This window comes from Homo sapiens, chromosome 7, assembly GCF_000001405.40.
Source record: "Homo sapiens chromosome 7, GRCh38.p14 Primary Assembly".
In the NCBI taxonomy this organism is placed as follows: Eukaryota; Metazoa; Chordata; class Mammalia; order Primates; family Hominidae; genus Homo; species Homo sapiens.
Genome location: NC_000007.14, coordinates 50742644 through 50761715, shown reverse-complemented (window position 1 = coordinate 50761715; position 19072 = coordinate 50742644). Strand labels below are relative to the sequence as shown.

General features: G+C 45.6%; 1 protein-coding gene across 25 annotated transcripts in view; it reads left to right on the top strand.

The window, feature by feature from the left end:
• Nucleotides 1-19072, top strand: part of GRB10 (growth factor receptor bound protein 10) — a 203386-nt gene that overhangs the window by 31738 nt on the left and 152576 nt on the right. For 12 of the 25 annotated variants that reach the window (XM_047420252.1, NM_001001555.3, NM_001350815.2 and 9 more), the window contains one exon: nucleotides 5660-5829. The exons of 8 other annotated variants lie outside the window; for them this stretch is intronic. Coding sequence is in view for 6 of the 17 variants with exons in the window: in NM_001350815.2 (NP_001337744.1) it covers nucleotides 5660-5829 (170 nt within the window). In the remaining 11 variants the exon portion in view is untranslated. Of the gene's footprint in view, nucleotides 1-15; nucleotides 4655-5659; nucleotides 5830-19072 lie in introns of those variants that run through there. 5 more of the 25 variants (XM_047420238.1, XM_047420232.1, XM_047420255.1 and 2 more) reach the window with 4 other exon arrangements.

Sequence of the window (19072 nt, the reverse complement as noted above, 5' to 3'; positions counted from 1 at the left end):
GACACAGAACCAAACCATATCAGACAGTTCTTAAAAATCTTTTTCAATTTAACATTTACACCTCGTTTCTGTTTCTTCACTGTGTTTTCTAGAACCCTAGAACAGTTACATCTGATACTGCCATTGTGAGCTTTCCGGCCCTAATGTTAATGGGGATGTCATTTTTGCTTCTTCATTACCTGTGCCACTTGCCTGCTGGAAGTTTTGGATAGATGCTTTTTATCAGGTTAAGGGGGTTCCTTATTTATACCTCACCACTAAAATCTTTCATTCCTGGCATGCAGGGGATTTTAAAAGAAATTCTGTTATCTTCTATGCTTTGGATTTCAGGCTCACTCTAGTAGATTTTCTTTTCCCTAAAAGGAAATGATAAAATCTGTTCCAGCAAGTGATTGAAAGAATCAAAATGAAGAGAAACTTTACAATTATTGTAAAAGTTTTCTATTTTTTTCCTTATGGTAGAAATGATATTTTATTAAAATCACAAACCGTGTGGCAGGGATTCATACATCCAGGTATCTGTTGACTTGCATCTTCGCTCTGCCATTGATTAACTGTGTGGCCTTGGCATATAATTACCGTCTCCTAGCCTTGGTTTCTGCATCTGTAAAATGAGGTAACAGTGCTGCCTCAAAGGATTGATATCTAGTTGTTCTTAATTAAAACCCACCTATCTTTGCATGTTGTGTTTTGTGTCTCACATGCCTTTACTTCCTTCAATTTGATCTTCAAAAAGCCCTCCCATGAGAGATTGTAAAGCATTTGGTAAGATTCTGACAGGTAATAGGTTGTCAATCAAGGGTGGCTGCCATTGCCCTGAGTACAGTTATCATAGCTGTCACCACCATCTTGGGTGGCATCATCTGGAGAGTCAGGAATGGCTGTGAGCCCTGGGATTCTAGTCCCAGGGATCCTGTGTGCTCGATTGTGGAGTGAAGACACGTGCCCACTCTTGTTTCAGTGTAGCTTGTATAGCACATGGTGCCATGATAAAAATACTCATGTTCGTATTTGCAGATTTGACTCTTCTGGATGAACAGTAGCATGTATTTTTGTGCCAAGTACACACTATTTTAACTACTTTTGCTTTAGGGTGCATTTTACTAGATGATGAGTAATTCTCCCTTAATGCTCTATGATTGACCATCTTACCGCTTATTTTATTTTGTTAGTTTTAGGATTATTCCACTAGTTCTAAGAAAAAAACTGCTTGAATTTAGATAGATACATACTACATTTCATTTATAAAGTTGTTTTGGATATTTATATTACTTTTAAGAGAATTAATCCTTATGATGTTTAATCTTTCCATTTAGGAACTTAGCGTGTTTCCATTCATTTAGGTCTTTTTATATCTCCTAAGTGCTATGATATTTTATGGTTTGTATAGGATTATTCTTAGGGCTAACCTAAAATATGCATACCTATGTATATAAACTATTGTGAGTGTGGTCTTTTCTGTAGGTTTTCTGCTCAGTCGCTGTTCTGTGCATGTGTGCATGTATATTTATCCTGCCTCTCACCGCTCTGCTGGCCTTTGGCTAGTTTTAGAGCTGTGTGCTGCCTCTTTCAGGTAGGCAGCCTCTGACCTCCCTGTGCTTCTGGTCTGCATGGCCGTAGAGGGAAGCACGCTCTCTGGCTAACCCATCTTTGTGCTTGCTCGGCTGGTGGCTCCTGGAGGCCCCACACTGAGGATTATTGGGCCTGTTGGTCCTGCTTGACCCTGAAATTGAGACCTAGATGGAGTCTGGGCCTGTTTACACATTTTGGCTAAGTTTTGTTGGTTTCAGTGATGGTGGCAGTTCAGAAGCTGCTCCCGGGGTGTCCGCGCTCTGCCCCCTGGCCATTCACTGTCTCTGTGGCCCTCTCCTGGTGTCTGCTGGTGGACAGGTTAGTGAGGGAAGAAGGGCCTTCCTGGGATTGGGCAGATGACTGGGTCCCTGGCAGCTGAGTTGCTGCTGAGCCTTTCTGTATGTTTGGTGATTTGAAAGTACAGCCGCTCTGCTATTCCACAGCTTGTGCGTCTGTGGGTTCCACATCCTTGGATTCAACTAACCATGGATAAAAATATTCAGTCCCCCCATAAACAATCAAATATAACAATAAAACAATAAAATAATTCAAATAAAAACAATACAGCATAAACAATATAGCATTTACATCATGTCAGGTATTGTAATTAATCTAGAAATGTTTTAAAGTGAATGGAAGTGTGTAGGTCATATCCAAATACTACGCCATTTTATACCAGGGACTGGAGCATCCTCTGATGGATTTTGGTGTCTCTGGTGTCCTGGAACCGATCCGCCATAGGTGCTGAGAGATGATGTTGGCAGTGAGGTGGGATGGTTTCTGTTTTCGCTTCCATCTGCTGCCCGCTTCTGTGGGCCTCCTGTTCTATCATCTTCACCAGGAAAGGAGCTGTGGCTGCTGGATTTGCATTACTGAATGAAGAGGCCAGAAGATACACCTGATAAAAGTGGTGTGAAGTTTGGCATTTCTTTTCTTTTTTTTTTTTTTTTTGAGGCAGAGTCTCACTCTGTCACCCAGGCTGGAGTGCATTGGTGTGATCTCAGCTCACTGCAGCCTCGACTTCCTGGGCTCAAGCGATCCTCCCACCTAAGCCTCCTAAGTAGCTGGGACTACAGTCACCCACCACCACACCCAGCTAATTTTTAAAAGAAGATTTTTATTTGTAGAAACAGGGTCACGCTATATGCCATAACTGGTCTTGAACTCCTGAGCTCAAGCAGTCTTCTAGCCTTGGCTTCCCAAAGTGTTGGGTTTACAGGTGTGAGCCACTGTGCCTGGCCTGTATTTCATAGTTGTTGTTTCAGCTTTAAGCTGTCCACAGGTCCTGGCAATAACATTCTGAAATTTTATAATTACTTTTTAGAAATGTTCCTTTTAATTCCATTCTATTTACATATTTCTCAATTTGTCTTCATAAGCACCCTCTTACTCTGGGAAAACACAGTCATCTCTGAGTCTCTGATATCAGTACAATATGGAGTTTAATTTTTTTGTTTAACTAAAAGTATTCTGTCCCCTTCTGAGAAGGCCTAGACTTCACTCCAGAGCTCTCTGGCCGAACAGGCTGAATACCCTCGTCATGAAAGTTAGGATTTGTTGAGTGTCTAAATAGTCACTGTTATTACTCTAAATATTTAGTGTGAGAAAACTAGGCAGAAGGAAAACTTTATATTAGCTCAGGAATTTTTGGAAGATACCAAAGATACTAAACAGAAATCAAGAGGCCCTTTGTTTCTGGGATATTTTGGAAGTAAGTTAAGACATTATTTATTTTTCCCCAGGTTAGTATATTCTTTAAGATCTCAAGTTTAAGTCGTATCTAACTGGAAACTGCCTAAGAAATCTCTCCTGACTGATAGGGAAATAGCTGAGTGAGCCCTTTAGACTCTGTAACTTCTGTCCAGTGGTCCGGGTCAGCGTGTGAAGTGTGCTGGTCTACTCTCGGGGTGTTGGTGGTCTGGGTGTCGGTGCCAGATGAGGCTACTGTAAACAGAGCCGAGAGGTTGTGTTTGCAGCAGGCTTTCCCCTGTGTGTTGATGGGCGGACACTGAGGTTATTGAGGAGGCATTGTATCTTACTAACTCTTCAGTTTATCAGGTTCAAAGAGCATGTTGTCTTTGTTTTGTCAACTGTAAAGACTAATATCAACTTCCTAGAAAATAGACAAAAATGGATGAAGTGATGATGGGTTTGACAGGACAAGTATATTTCACTTTACCTCAGTGATGTATTTAATTTATCGTGCCCATGAGAAAAAGCAAACCTTTCAAGCACATGTCTTACATTTGAAGCCACATGCCTGAAGATGCCTTGGGAAGTGGTCCTGGGCATTTGAATCAGAATTGGGGAAAAGATTAGGCTCTCTAGAGATGGGACACACATCAGGATATGAGAATTAGCAGTGATTCGTATGCTGTTGTGATGGTGACCGTAAGTCCATTTCCCAGTGTTCCCATTGCCATGTCACAGACCCTCATACTTGTTTGCCCATGCACCCTTTTTTCTTATCTTTTAGTCACTTAAGCTACTAGAACTTAGAAATATTCTAGTCGACATAATCATCTTGATACTTTCCAAACTTCCAAATTCTTTGAGACGGTTAAAGCGATACCCTTAATAAAATGCTTTTGCATAGGCAGGTGATGTTCAACTTTGATCAGTCTCATAATCATGTATCACATATCTCCCCTTTTGGTCCTAAAAAGACCAGCATCCCCTTTAAACATTAGCAAGCTTCATAGCTTGCAGGTGGCTGGTGTGTTTCACACCTGAAAATGGGAGAATTATTTGGCATGTTGTAGTTAATGATGAGTATACATTTGTTTAACGTTTGCTATACGTTGAACCCTGTCCTAAGCCTTTATATGCATTAGCTCATTTAATCCTAATAAAAGCTCCGTGAGAGAGATACTATTTTCATGCTGATTTTATAGCTGGGAACACTGAACCCCAATGACTCAATAATTTGCCCAGACATCAGCCGCTAAGGGGTGGCATCTGGAGATGAACCAAGACTCTCTGGTGCCTGGATTTTTAGCAAGCATGTTCAGCGGGACCTGTTTCAAAAAACAGCCATTTGACTGGTCTTCTTATATCTGGGCCCAGGACTTCTTGATGTCAGGTAAGAGGCAGGGGCAGGTTTCATTTTCACCGTTTAACAATTAGGAAAATTTAGCTTCTGACTCTTCCATGGAGGGATCTGTTGAGATCACCCACGTTGCAGGCAGGGGACCTCCTCCAGCCCAACAGCGATAGGAGGCTCCTGGATGGCACCCTTGCTGCATGCCAGTCACACTGCTAAGCCATTCTCTGTGTATTTCATTTAAACATGTTGGAATCCAGTGGCATTCCAATGCAGTGTATTAAAATCCTCAGTGAGGTGGGTTTCATCCCCATGCTCTGCAGTGGGACCAGAGCCTGGGAAGACCAGTGAGTTGCCCAGGTCACTATAAAGTCTCCTCCGGTAGGGGTTTCAATTGGTCTCCACCCTCTTCTCCATGCCTAGAACCCACCTGTGAACTGAGGGCTCTGCGCCTTGAGCTCTCAGTTCATAGGACTTGAGTGATGAATCAAAGATCAGAGCCAGAATTGGAACCCCAGGTCTGCCTGCTCTGCACCCCTCTCGTGGAACACATGTGCTCCATGCAGAGTGCCCAGCGGAATCTCTGCTGAGAACAGTACCAGGCATTGTGGGCTGGGGCCAGGTCTGACATGGAGGCAGGTTCCTGCTGGGTGGGCCGAAGGTTGTAGCCTGGGAGGACCCTGACCTGGGCCCGAAGTGAATTCTAGGTAACTTTGCCTTGCAAGAGGGCAAAGGTCTGTGTGCTTTGTACCCCGCCTGCCTTGGAGGCAGCGTGCTTTGGAGACGCAGAGATGTGTGGGCAGTGAGCGTAGAGCCCAGTGCATCTTCCCTCTGTCCTCTGTCTCTGGGCATCATGTGACAACTAGAAACCTACATCTTACTTAGTCACGTCCTTGTTTTGTTCTTCAGAACACTCTTAAATGATCTTCTTGGAAAAAAATATTCTTTCATGTCTGTTTTAAAAGTTTTATTCCTGGGCTCAGAGTATAAGTTCATTTGTATAAATTCTACGGAAGTTCAGTGATGGCCCGTTTGACTTTCCAGCTTTGGCGCTGACCACAATGCTGAGCAGGAAGCAGCAGCTGCAGGCCCAGTGACTGGTAGCTCAGTGACCAGCAGCCCAGTGACCGGCAGCCAGGTCCTCACCTGGGTCCTCTCAGTGAAGCCAGGGTGGCCGCCCCAGCAGACAGTGCTACAGAGCCAACTCCTGACAGGTAAGCCCTATGCATGACACTAGTCACTAGTGCCTTTCTTTGCAGGAGAGTCGCCTGTTCAGTATTGATTAAGGTGGTCAGTGAATGCGTGTCACTGTAGGTAGAGGCCTGATACTAGAACCTTTATTCCAAGGTTCCCAAAGAGAGTCTCCCGTCTCTGTCCTCTCTCTCCCTCTCCTCCTTGGCTCGGCTCTGCCTGGGAACACCGGGCTGAGTCGGGTAGGGATGGGAGGACCTGGGCTGCAGCAGAGCCGGGCTGCGCACACTCTCCTCGCGGACATGCCTCTGGGCCTCACTGGTCTCCTTGTGCCCTTCCATATGGTGGGGGTGATGCTGCCTGCCTCCTGGGTCACTCTGGGCACTCCTCGTGAGCCTCAGGAGTTGGTAGCTGTTGTTCTGAAGGTGGGCTAGAACACAGTGTGGGAGGGTCTTGACCTGTGCCTTGTTGCTGATGTGTGTGTTAGTGTGCCCCTGCCTCAGTCAGTACTGAGACTGGGGACCCTGTAACTAACGGAGGACCAGGGCAGTGTTAGCACCCCTGCCTTCCTTTGGCATGTCAACCTCAGGTGGCCCTTTCTGGGAATGGACCTTCTCTTTGTCCTGGTTGGCCCTGGGTGTGGGATTCTTACAGTGCCGTTGGCAGGTCTGAGATGGTAGCTGCAGATGCAGGCAGAGAGCTGAGGCCAGAACGGCTTCAGCACACAGACCTGCCGGAGCCTTTGCCTGCAGAGTGGAGGATGCTGTTAGCTCGGGCTTCCCCGCAGTATCCCGCAGACTGGCTGGCTACACAACAGAAGTTTGTTTTCTTATAGTTCTGGAGGCTGGAAGTCTGAGGTCAAGGTGACAGCTGAGTTGGTTCCTCCTGAGGCCTCTCTCCTGGGCTTGCACATGGCTGTTTTCTCGCGGTGTCCTCACCTGCTCTTCCCTCTGGACCTGCCTGTGTTTTAATCTCCTCCTCCTGTAAGGACACCGGTTGTATTGGATTAGGGCCCACCTTTGTGACCCGGTTTTAACTTAGTGACCTCTGTAAAGGCTCTGTTTCCAAATACAGTCACATTCTGAAGTGCTGGGGGTTAGGGCTTAACATAGGAATGTTTGGGAACGCAGTTCAGCCCAGGTCAAAGGCCTGAAGGGAGGCTGGGGGACCTGGGTACTGCCGGTCACCTTCCCTCATATCCACACCCTTGGTAGGAAGTTTCTGGGCTATCTTTTCCCAAATGTCTGCCTTATGTTAGCTTTGTGTTAGATGCTGAATGACATTTTACACATCCCTTTCTAAATTCAGAAGGTGCGCATGTGGACATTTTCCTTCTCTCCAGACAGCTCACACTGCCGTTGCTTTTTTTCTGAGAGTCTGTGCCCCTGCAGAGAGAGGGTCCTGGCGCCAGTGAGGAGAGGGAGCTGGAGCCTCCTGCAGCTCCCGCCCTGGTCATGCATGAACCGTGACCTCCCCCACCTGCCACTGCCTTGCCAGGGAAGTGGGCTGTGCTGTTGGGATGGATTGTCTTTTGTAAAACAGGCCCTTCACCCTTCTCCTCACAGCATAGTTGAGTGAAGGTAGCAGACCTCCCTATCTCAGAATGGGTCAGAGAAAAAGCCACGCTTTGTGGCCAGTGATAGCTCTGCAGACCCTTCCATGCCTGAGACCCAGGGCAGGGCTCTAGGGCAGCTGGGTCCCTCGTCTTGCCTCTTGACTGCTCATTGTAGACGATGTGCAGTGCCTGAACCATCAGGCAGGTGTGCGAGCTTCAGGAAGGCAGCCCTGCGAAGCTGAATCAGGGAGTGCCGTGCTCACGGGCAGGCAGTCGCCCTCCTTGGACCCGTCTGCCCCTTTGCATTGCCCAAGATCCTTCATTGGTGACATAGATTTGTTGCGAGTGATGCTGAGATTCCTTGAGATTTGGGACGAGTTTTCTTTCTGGCAAGGCTTTACAGTGTTGAAGGGACACATCTGAAAAAGGCAAAAAGCCATCTCTCACCAGCCCCAGCGCCCACTTCCTGGATCACCTGACAGCCTTGGGCTTCCTGCCTTTTCTTACTGGTCATATAATTCAAAGGGAAATCTCCTTCCCAGCCTCTGCATTCCAATTGCCTGATTATGGACTGCTTGGCATGGACATGGCATTGAAACAAAACTTCGTTTCCCACTTAGTCTTTGAGTTTTTGGCTTGAAATCTGATGATCACTGGCAGCTTACAGAGCAGGTCCACCTGTGTGGTGGCTCCATTTGGTGGGGTGCTTCCTCTGTCCTCCAGGAGGGAGACGCTGAGTCTGTGGTCATCTGTGGTCCCACTTGACAAGTTTGAGCCCCTTGAGGGGTCAGCAGGTATTGAATGAGGCATGGTCTTCCAGGGAGTGCTCTGGGAAGTAGTTTCCAAACTTTATAAGCCATGAAACCTTTCCTTGACTTGGGACTCTCAGATGGGCTCCCTCTTGTCCAACAAGAGAATGAGTGAATGTGGGCACCCATTTGGTACCTGGCACTGTCCAGGTGCCGGGCACCATGGTCACAAGATGGCCCCAGCTCCTGCCTGCAAGGAATGTATTTTTGGTAGAAAGATATCCTGTTAAGAACTCACGTTTTGCTTGACCTAACAGTTGAAGCCCAATCCCCTGGGGTTTCAGAAAGATGCTACAAATCAAAATAATAGAGTCTGAGAAGAGCTAGTTATTGTCAGAGTAGACTTCAGTTTGCAGAGTGTCTCAGATGAGGGCACCCAGGCCTGGATGTGGTGGGGCCTGAGGTGGGAATCCCAGACCCTATAGTGACGGGCCATGGCACTAGACTTGGGGGAATCAGCTGGGCCTCAGGGCAACCCTCCCACTGTCCTTCGCTGCTCACTGCCTCTAAGAGCCAGCCCTGTTTGTTTTGGGGTCAAGGAGGGAGAGGCAGAAATACTCAAATGGTCCCAATGGTCTCAGTTTCTATTCGTTAGCTCTTGGGCCCAAAGAGACCTCTGAGCGTTTCCCTCAGGCCTGTGGTTCCTTGGGGACCATAGCTTAGCTTTCCTCTGTCCCCATTTTTGGTTACTTGTCTTGTTCTCATGGGAGAAGTTTTAGGGGTTGCCTGGGGTTCAAAGCATCACATCCCCAAACTCAGTGTTCATGCAGCAGCTTCTGCCTTGCGGGGCTCAGCCTCAAGGAAAGAGCTCTGTTCTCCTGCTCTTGGCCTGTGGAGACCGGCCCAGCTGCGATGGTACAGCTCTTGCTGGGCTCTTACTCACACAGGAGGGCAACTCTCATGGCCCTGCTCACCCTTGGAATGCAGTCAGGGGAGGGCTCATTATCATGACACCAATCTACCTTAGCGACACAGAGCTTGGCTAAGGATAGGGACCATTTCTCTGGCCCAGATGCTCTGATGCATGGTTCTTTCCCATTTATAGGACAGTTTGAACTAAAAAACTTTCAGAAACTAACCAAGAATGGTATGCCTTTCACCTTTCTCTTTCCAAGGGCAGGAAACTTCTACAGTTGTGCCACACAACCGTTTTGCTCCTCAAGGTGTCCCATAGCCTTTCCCGTAGGAAAGAGAAACTCTTAAGTACCTTGATGTTGCCTCAGCCTTCCTTTTTTGACATCCTCTCAACTTTTGGCTTCTGTAACTTGAGCCTCCCTGAATCTCCTGTTTATCCTTTTCTATTTTTGTAGCCCCTCATTTTTTCCCCCCTAATAACTTTGCTTCACTGTCCTCCCCATAGGAGAGCCCTCTCACATTCTTCTGTGGAGTTCTTATTGTCTTGTTTCTGCCTCACGTGGGGCACTTAACCTGCACACCCTGACTCTGTGGTTTTGTATGAGCTTCTCCCCACTGGATTGCGCTGGGAAGCTTGGGTCAGGCATCATTCATGCCCCTTGGCATCCTTGATCAGCCAACGAGATACCTCAACAGTATATTTAAGTAAAGTGTCTTTAAACAGAAACACATAAAAAGAGGTTACATATTGATTGGTTGATGAAAATGTGACTGGCTCATAGAAACCTAACTCTGTATTTCCCCTAGGGCCAAAGACTCACCATTCACTAATTCAGTGTTTGAGGTGACTTTAAAGCCCTTAACTATACCACAAATAAGGAGAATCACTCCACTTGTTCTTGGTCACCAAATTCCTTGCTATCCACCTGCCCCCAAATTGTTTTCATTCTTTTTTTAACCAGCTCAATTTAGATACAATACATTGAGCACAGAAAACTGCACATATTTAAAATGTGCAAACGGATGCATTTTGACATATGTGAAACCATCATCAAGTAACCAAGGTAATGAAAATATTCATCACTTCCCACACTTCCCAGTGCCCCTTTGCAGTTCTTCCTTCCCACCCTTTCACTGGTCTGTTTTCTCTCAGTATAGATTGCTTGCATTTCCTAGAGTGTTGCATAAAGGAATCAATTTATTTTATCTGGCCCCTGGCTATTTATTTTGAGATTCGTCTATCAATATTTCACTCCTTTTTAATGCTGAGTAGTGTTCCATTGTATAGATGCATCACAGTTGGCTCATTCATCCACTTCTTGATGGGCATTTGGCTTGTTTCCAGGTTTTTGCTGTTTCAGACACAGCTTCTATAGATTGCTTTCTTTCTGTATCTGAGCCTCTTTCTAGGCTTCTAGGAAAGCAGTGTCCTTCCTTTTTTCCTTCTTTTTGGATTGGATTTCTTCCTGCTGAGGTCTTGGGTGTCTGGTTTGGACATGGCTGTGGGTCTACCTGGAGTCTGAGCTCTGGCCTGATACAGAGGGGTAGGAGTGGTGAGGAGGGCAGTGTCCAAGGCAAGTCGAGGCTGGGACATGGCGTCTCTCTTGTTGGTCAGTGAGCTCTCGGTCCCTGTGGGTCAATGCCTTCATTCATTCTTGGCGAGTCTGATTTGCAGGCTTGGGGGCCAAGCAAGCCACTGTGGACCCTCAGAGCATACCCTTATTTATTGACTCCACTCACGTCCTAGGTGGGTAGAGATGATTCCTGGGAGAGCTGTCCTCAGACAGCCCAGGCTGTGATTTGGAAGGGCCCATCCATCCTTCTGACCAGTGGTGAGTTATCTGGGGACCCAGGAGATGAGTGCAGGCTTGATGCTGAGACTTAGGGTAATTCATTGCCCAGAGTGTCTGCTGTCTTTGCTCTCCTTCTAAAGTGGCTGGCATAATTAGATTGGGGACTTGCTTGTCTTTTGTGATGTACAAACTTGTCTCTTCTGGTATTGACAACAGGCTGTTTGACTTCACAGATGGGGGTGGGCGTGGGAAACCTAAGCGTGATACTCATCTATATAGTTCTGTCTGCAGTTGGTTATTGGAATTGTGGGACTGCGTTCCCTAGCACTTCTAGATGTCTTGCCCCAAGAGAGACTCTCGGCAGGCTCAACGTGTGCTGTGATCATTGGAGCTTCTATTGAACAGGATTGCCCTGAAATGGAGGGTGAATGGCAACCGTTGGATATCTCCGCGTGCGCACCTGCTTAGGTGGAAGACAAGAAACGGTGCAGGAAAGCCCCTTTCATTTTATTTATTTTGGTCTTTGTCCAGCATTCAAAGTTAACTCAACTTTTCAGAAAGGTTTTATATATGAGTGGTGAGAGCAGAGTCGACCAAGATGTTGCTTATGATCATCCTTGAAATTTATGATTAAAAAAAGAAGATAAAATTTGCAAAGAACTTGCTGCCTTGGCAGCTCCCAAGAGAATTCAGTTCCTGAGGTTGAGAGGGAGCTGGTTTTAGGGTGCTTTCCCACGGAGAGCTGCCGGAGGGCTCCTCTGTGCTTCTGTAGACAATCTGCAGGCCAGACATTCCAACTGTCTTCACGAAATAGGTTCTCCTTTTTTCTTTGCCCCCACCTGGGAGAGTGGGGCCAGCCTGGCAGCAATCTCACCAAGGGAGTAGCAGGATCAACAGGCTGTTACAGTCTGTCCTAAGTTGAAAAGAAGATTAATTTTTTTTAAGTTACAGTTTCAATTAAAGGAAGATGGAGGAATGTAATAACATGCAATAAGATTTATGATAAGTACAAACTGTGCTTGAATACCTACATTTAAAGCATTTCATGCTTTCAGAAGTAATAGAGCTGTGGGCCCAAAGACGGGATGGAGGAGAGAAGAGGGTAACATTTCAAAGGTGCCCTCTCTTTATACTGTTAATGGTTATTTTGATGGATTACTTCATAGACCAACGAGTTGATGACTGGGGGTCCAGAGTGTGCATGATTGATGTAGATGATTGCATTAGAAGATGATTACCTAGTTATTGCAGTGTTTAGAACCAATGGAAGAAAAATGCTTTGAAAATGACAAATTCCACAAATTATACAAAGTTTCTAAGAAGAACTCCTGGAGATTATTTATAGAAGCTCTGGTAATATAGGATGAGTGTGGCCAGAGTAGAAAAAAATCTACTTTTATCAAAGCAAAATTATTTAAAATTCCATCTCACAATTATACATTAAAGAATTTTATAACAATACAAATTTTGGCCAGGCATGGTGGCTCATGCCTGTAATCCCAGCACTTTGGAAGGCTGAGGTGGGTGGATCACCAGAGGTCAGGTGTTCGAGATCAGCCTGGCCAACATGATGAAACCCTGTTTCTACTAAAAATACAAAAATTAGCTGGGCATGGTGGTGAGTGCCTATAATCCCAGCTACTCTGGAGGCTGAGGCAGGAGAATCGCTTGAACCTAGGAGGTGGAGGTTGCAGTGAGCCAAGATCGCACTATTGCACTCCAGCCTGGATGACAGAGTGAGACTCCATCTCAAAAAAAAAAAACAAACAAAAAAACAAAACAAAACAAAAAAACCCAACATTTTATATAGAATTGACTAACGTGTTTGTAAACATCTAGACCATTTGAGTTTGACAAATTGTGGCATCCTCTAGATTGTAGAGTCTAGACCCATTCCACCCTTTTACAGGTGAGAGAACAAGAGTTTTTATTTAATATGTCTTTTAATGTAGCACCTCTTTATAAAGTAGAGGTTCTGATTTCTTATGGCCTTTTGGAAATAAATGTCCTGGTAGCTTTTCCCTGTTTTGAGGATTAGAGAAATTACATTTTGCACACGTGGGTCTCACTCTCTCCATGAAATTCGATTGTTTTACTTCAGAGTCTTTGTGGTCAAGATGGATATCATTGCCCTTTACCCCAACTGGTCCCTATTCCTGGAGCACTATGGGGTCCAAAGGCCTCGGTCCCCGCCACAGCAGCTAAACACTGGGGTTGCTTACATTCCTGAACTCCAGGCTCCTCCTCAGTGACACTCGGGGTATTGTTAGGAAGAATGAGAAGGAAAATGGAAGTCAGCGCTTAGCTGAGAACCTGGCCCATTATAAATGTTCCACAAAGGCTTGTTTTTACCCGACCCCATCCCTGGTACCCTGATTTTCTCCGCATTCTCCCAGCCTGTTGTGTGTGCCTTTGCCTCTGGTTTTGTTATGCTGTTTCTCCTACCTCCTTTCTCCACTCCTAATTTCCAACACTTTCCCGAGCTCAGCTCTCACATCTGCCGTGACGCTCTCCCTGGCTGTTGTGGTGCCCACTCGTGTCCATCTGCATGGCACTTGGCCTATAGCAGGTAGGTGTGCACTGTCTGATGTCCATCTCTAACACCAGCACATGGCTACTCCGTCATGGGCCACGGGGCCTCCTCCAGGGTGCTAGGCAGAGAGGAGGAAAACCCCTACCTAGGGCTTCCTTAATTAATCCGAAACCACAGGACCCCGTTAAAGATGGGGCGGGGGGTGAGTGATTACGTTCAGTTATTAGAGCAGATCCACTCCCTCCCCATCCTGAAATAACAGTGTCACCAGCATCATCAGGCGGGGATGAGAACAATCCTATCCTCTGGAATTTCCCACCTGCACGCATGCGTCCTGCCTTCTAGAATTTGCCACCTGCACGCATGTGTCCTGCCTTCTGTGATTTCCTACCTGCAGGTATGCTTCCTGCCTTCTGGAATCCCACCTGTGCATGCATCTTGCCTTCTAGAATTTCCTATCTGCACACATGCATCCTGCCCATTCATCATCTCCCACGCCTTTCCTATCTCGATGTCTGGAGACGCCCTCCTTCTACTTGCCCAGGCCCGAGGTCTCCACTCCGCTTTTCTTTCACGTGTCCCACCTGCTAGATTCAGAATGCACCACTTCTCTCCTGAGCATCCATCAAGGCCTGGGTGCAGGATTCTGCTGACTGGTTTCTCAGCTTCTCTCCTCCCAGGCGGCCTGTTTTCAGCAGAGAAGCTGGGGTCCCATGGAGCTGCCCTGCTCCATGCTTGCATGCCATTTCTCTCAGCGTTGGAGCAGAGCCCTCAACAGTGAGCGTGGTGGGTGTCTGCCCAGTCAGCTCTGGGGGTGAAATGGAGAAGCGGGGTGGAGGGAGAAAAATCCCAAAGGGTTGGAGAGAGGGTAAAACCATCTTTGAAAATGCTTCACCCCACTTTTCCTCTTGAGAGAGCTGCCTTGCTAGATTAAAGGCTCAAAGAAGCACTGGAAGAAAGGAAAACATTTGACTTTATAGAAAACCTGAACTTGTTTGACTGTAAGCGCCTTTGTTTTGTGGATTTGGAGGGAACGGTGGGGACCTGCTCTGCTTCGCGGGTTTCCTCCTCAAAAGCAGGAATCCCAGCCCCAGGCCAGGTTCAGCTACCGCGCCTGGGCTCATGGCTCAGGGATAGGTCGTGTGTCTCTCCTTAGCCTGGCTTCCTCATTGTAGTGCCCACCAGCAGCGACCATGACTGTGAGAGTGAGAAGAGACCATGATGGAAACTCCTAATGATTCAAATAAGTTTAGAGAGAATTTCGCTGCAGAAACTGGGGCTTTGGAGAGACTGCTGATTTGAGGGGTAGGAGGCAGCGGGTTTCGAACATGCTTTGTCAACACTTGCAGAGGGATGCAGAGAGAGAAAGGGCTAGAGCTAGAGGAGGACATGCTTAAGAGAAATGTCACTTTGCTTCCTCCCTTCCTTCCCTCCTGAAGTGGGAAATGCACACAAATGTTCATGGACCCAAGGGAGGGAGGACATGGGCAGGAAGAGGTCATGAATTGAGGCGAGAGCACAGAATGGCTCACGCAGGGACAGGCCAGGGGAGCCCTGGGGACTGGAGGCCCGGGGGGCAGAGACTGGGTGGTGTGCAGGCCCTGAAGTGATATGGGTGTTCTGCAGGAAGGGGTTTGGGGATGCTGCACTGAAAAGGGTGGGGATGGGAGGTTTAGGGCAGTAGGCAAAAAGCCTCTTTTGTGGAGAAAGTGAGTAGCTGAGGGTGAATGAAGATTTGCAGCACAGCAGGGAGGGTCTGCAGGTAGTTTTTGGTGATTGCCATTATCCTCTTTGGTGCTGCTGAGGAAAGGCCCTCACAGGAGTCCACACAGTTCCTGGGTCTGGCAGTGTCACCAGAGGGTGCCCGCTCCTCCCTTATTTCATTAGAATCCCGGTCTTAGGTATAAAAGAAAATAAATCACTCCTTGGTTTACAGGGTTCCATTCTGATAAACCCATCATAAGACACAAATGTCGTAAGTTGAAAATGCATTCAGTGCTGGCAACACGGTACATGGTGCCTGATTTAATGACGGTTTGACTGTTTTAATTTTAATTTTTGATCTAATAATGCTTTGTGTTTTTGGCTTTTGGATGGTGTGAAATCGACAAGTGTTCAGTAGAAACTATAACCCAATGGTAAGTTGTAAGGAGATTCTTAACTAAAAATGGGTTTACATCCTCATCAACTCATCATAAAGATGAAAAATCCTGAGTTGAACCATTGTCAAGTTGGGAACCATCTGTACAGATTATGAAGAAACCAGGCTGCCTGTGGAGCTTGTATGGTTTCACACTGCCACATCCTACTCTCAGTGGCACCCAGGACAGCGTCCTTACAGCTCAGATACTGGACTCTGGGGCCTAATTGGGAAGAGAGCAAATCCCAGGCCTTGTTCAAGATTTGCCAAAAGAATGAGATTAAGATCTGATGCCACTATCTTCAGTATTTCCTAATTTAGCCAGAGAGTTTACTTTAGCATCTAGAAAGTGTGATTAACTACTTTAGCGTTTAGAAAGAGTGATTAACTTTTTGAGGCCTTTAAAAAGTTTTCTTTAGGTAAAAAGATGTCTTCTGTGAGTTATTTGGGTTTTATTATAGGGACAAATGGTTTACCATCTAATATTGATTGGAATGACTTTGGAGCGCATTTAGTTTATAAAGTGTTTAAATCCAAGGGCTGTTTTATAGAGCATCTTTTATTTTTCGGATAAAGTTCTAGCCGTTTTCCCAACAGTTATGAAATTCACTATTTTTAGGCGGCAAAGACAGATCTGAGTGGTTTTGCTTTTCCTTCCCGTTGGCTTTATCTATTCCCAAAGGAAGACAGTGCTTCCGGACCAGTGGGGGTTATAGTTGGTAATGTGTTGTCATGGCAATTGTTCCCCTCTTTGTCTTAATTGATTTGGTGTCTTAATTTTTGTTTCTCTTTTTATAGTTTAAATGTACAAAGATCTATTCCTTGGAAGACACCCAAAGGCATTCGGTAATTTGTAAGAATTTGTAAAATTCAAGTATCAAGGATTCCAAAGGTAGAAACAAATCTTTAATGAATTTAGAAAAATATTAATATATCAGAGAACAATAAGTTCTTTTAAAAGGAACCCAATTTTAAATCTATATTTAAGTAATACGCATTGCAAATTTAAAATTACAGTTGACTCTTGAACAACATGGATTTGAACTGTGTGAGTCTATTTATATGTGGAGTTTTTTTCAGTAATTACTAGAAAATTTTTTTGAGATTTGCAACAGTTTGAAAAATCTTACAGCATAGCCGAGAAATACCAAAAAAATTAAGAAAAGGCTATGTCATGAATGCATAAAATATATGTAGAAGACTAGGCTGTTACTCTAAAATATATACAAATCATAAAAAAGTTAAAGTTTGTCAAAACTTACACAAACACAGACCATACATGGAGCCATTTGTTGACAGAAATGTAAAAAAACCCATGAAGGTGCTGTATGAAATCATCACTGCATAGAATTAACTGTAGTACATACTGCACTTAATTTCATAGTTATGAAAATTACTGTACTACTGTAATAATTCCACTGTTGCTGTGAGCTCAAATGTTGCAAGTATACGCTTTAAATGCCATGTGATGCTAATCATCTCCATGTGAGAAGCTCCCATCCCAGTAAATTGCTCATTGCATTAAAAAGTGACCTCTCGTGGGTCTTGTGTATTTTTCATGTTTAATGCAATACCGTAAACTTTGAATAACACAGGGGACCCATACTAGTGAAACTGGAAGTGCTCCCAAAGAGCTTACTTTATTCTAAGAATACAGTATGTAATAACTATATGACATACAACATGTGCGTTAATGACTTTCTGTTATTGATAAAGCTTCTAGTCAACAGTAGGTCATTAGTAGGTAAGTTTTTGGGGAGTAAAAAATTATACATGAACTTTTAACTGCATGGGATGTTCGTGCTCCAACTCCTACCTTGTTCAGTGCTCAGCTGTGTAATGTTTATTCTTCTCTCCCCATCCTTCTCCATGCCAATATTCCCAGGGTGCATAAAGGTAGGATGCTTTGATCTCTGGAGCACCTGATACTGCTCCCTCCCTGCCGTCCTTTTCTTTGACTCCAGCCTGCCGGCCTGTGATGGTTCTACGCGGTTTCTTTTCTTTTCCATGAAGTCCTGTGGTCGTGGTGTTGCAGCGCCTGCGTCCTAATCTCTACGATTGAGGCAGTACTCTGACCTGTTCCACAGTGTGTCTAGACTTCATTGTGCACATGGGTTCCTCTTCTCTGCACATGCCTACCACAGAGCAGGGGTATCCACTCTCGGTGAATGCGGCTTGAGAAGGCTGCATGTGGAGGTGGCCTTCATCACCCCACCTCTTTTCAGGGCTAGAAAATTGGTGTTTTCCTCTGGTGAGGCTTTTAGGATGGAGGGATTCGAGGACCTCCTGCCTGTGGATAGCCTAGGCTGTTTTCTGTGGTTACCTTTGCTCAAGTTTTCTGTTGACTTTCTGGGTCTCAGATCAGTTGGATCACTGCATTAACAGTCCTGCCCTGGGCATTCATGTCTGTGTGTGGACCACAGCACGGCAAAAGGGAAGACCTTCTCTCTGACACCAGTGCTAGTGGTGAGGGTGCCTAGAAAGTGAAAATTAGTTTCTGGTGTCGGCCTCTCCTGGTTCTCCTGAGTAGGATCTTGCTGTTGGGGTTCTGTGCTGTCCCCTTCAGGACTCAGGCTCTGGATTTGCGGAGAGCATATCTCAAATTAACTATGCAGCTGTGCAACAGGAGTAACTGCTGGCCAAGTTACTTGGATTCTTTCTCATCGGTTGAGTGGGGATGCTGCTAGTGTGTCTGCACAGGTTTCTTGAGGGGACTTGATGCTTCCCACAAATGACAGTAGGGATGTGGCCACCGTAAAGTGGTGCTGTGCTTCGCAGCACTGCGTGATCTGACCCACGCTTACGTTTCAAAGCCATTGAAACAGATTCAAGATCATGTATTGATTTAAAAAATTTACTCTTTTCTGTCGGGAGGCTGACCAGACTACTGAAGTGGAAGGAACTGTAGATGCTTGAATAGAATATGCCACACAAGTCTTTTTCAAACTGCTGAGAATAAAAAATCAAAGGTCATCCTCATACCTATGGTCACATATAGACCCTTGTACCTAATAATGTGCAGTTGGAAGCAATGAGGTCATGCTTTGCTGCAGATAATTAAAATAGCTCTTGAATCTGTCCCTTCTCCCCCTTCTCCCATCAATGCATTGTGGAAGAAAAGCGGAAATTGGTGTTCTAAAAGGCATTCTTTGTATTTGCATATGCCAAAAAACCCAAGAGTTATTATTTTTTTTAAAGGCAGGAAGCAGAACAGGTACAGCTTTTAGTTAGGGATCTAGTACTTAGGATTCAGTTAGGGCATTTTGAGGAACCGAGTATAGTTTTTACTTCAAGCAGTGTAGTAGCAGCAGTTTCCCCCTTCCCAGCCCCCAGGAAGTGAGATATGATTCTTCAAAGCGTTACTGAATTTTTTCCCCAATATTTTCCCCCTGCAGACATCATAGAAACCAACAGTAATTTAAAGAAAAGAGTGGTGGTGCTTACCTTTGGAAACAGCTGAGGAGCTTTTAACACTATTACCCCCCACCCCCTCCCCATCCCCGAGATTCATTTTCCTTGGTCTGGGATGCAGCCTGGGCATGCAGAGTCTTCCCCTTTCCCCCTAGTGATGTAATATGCAG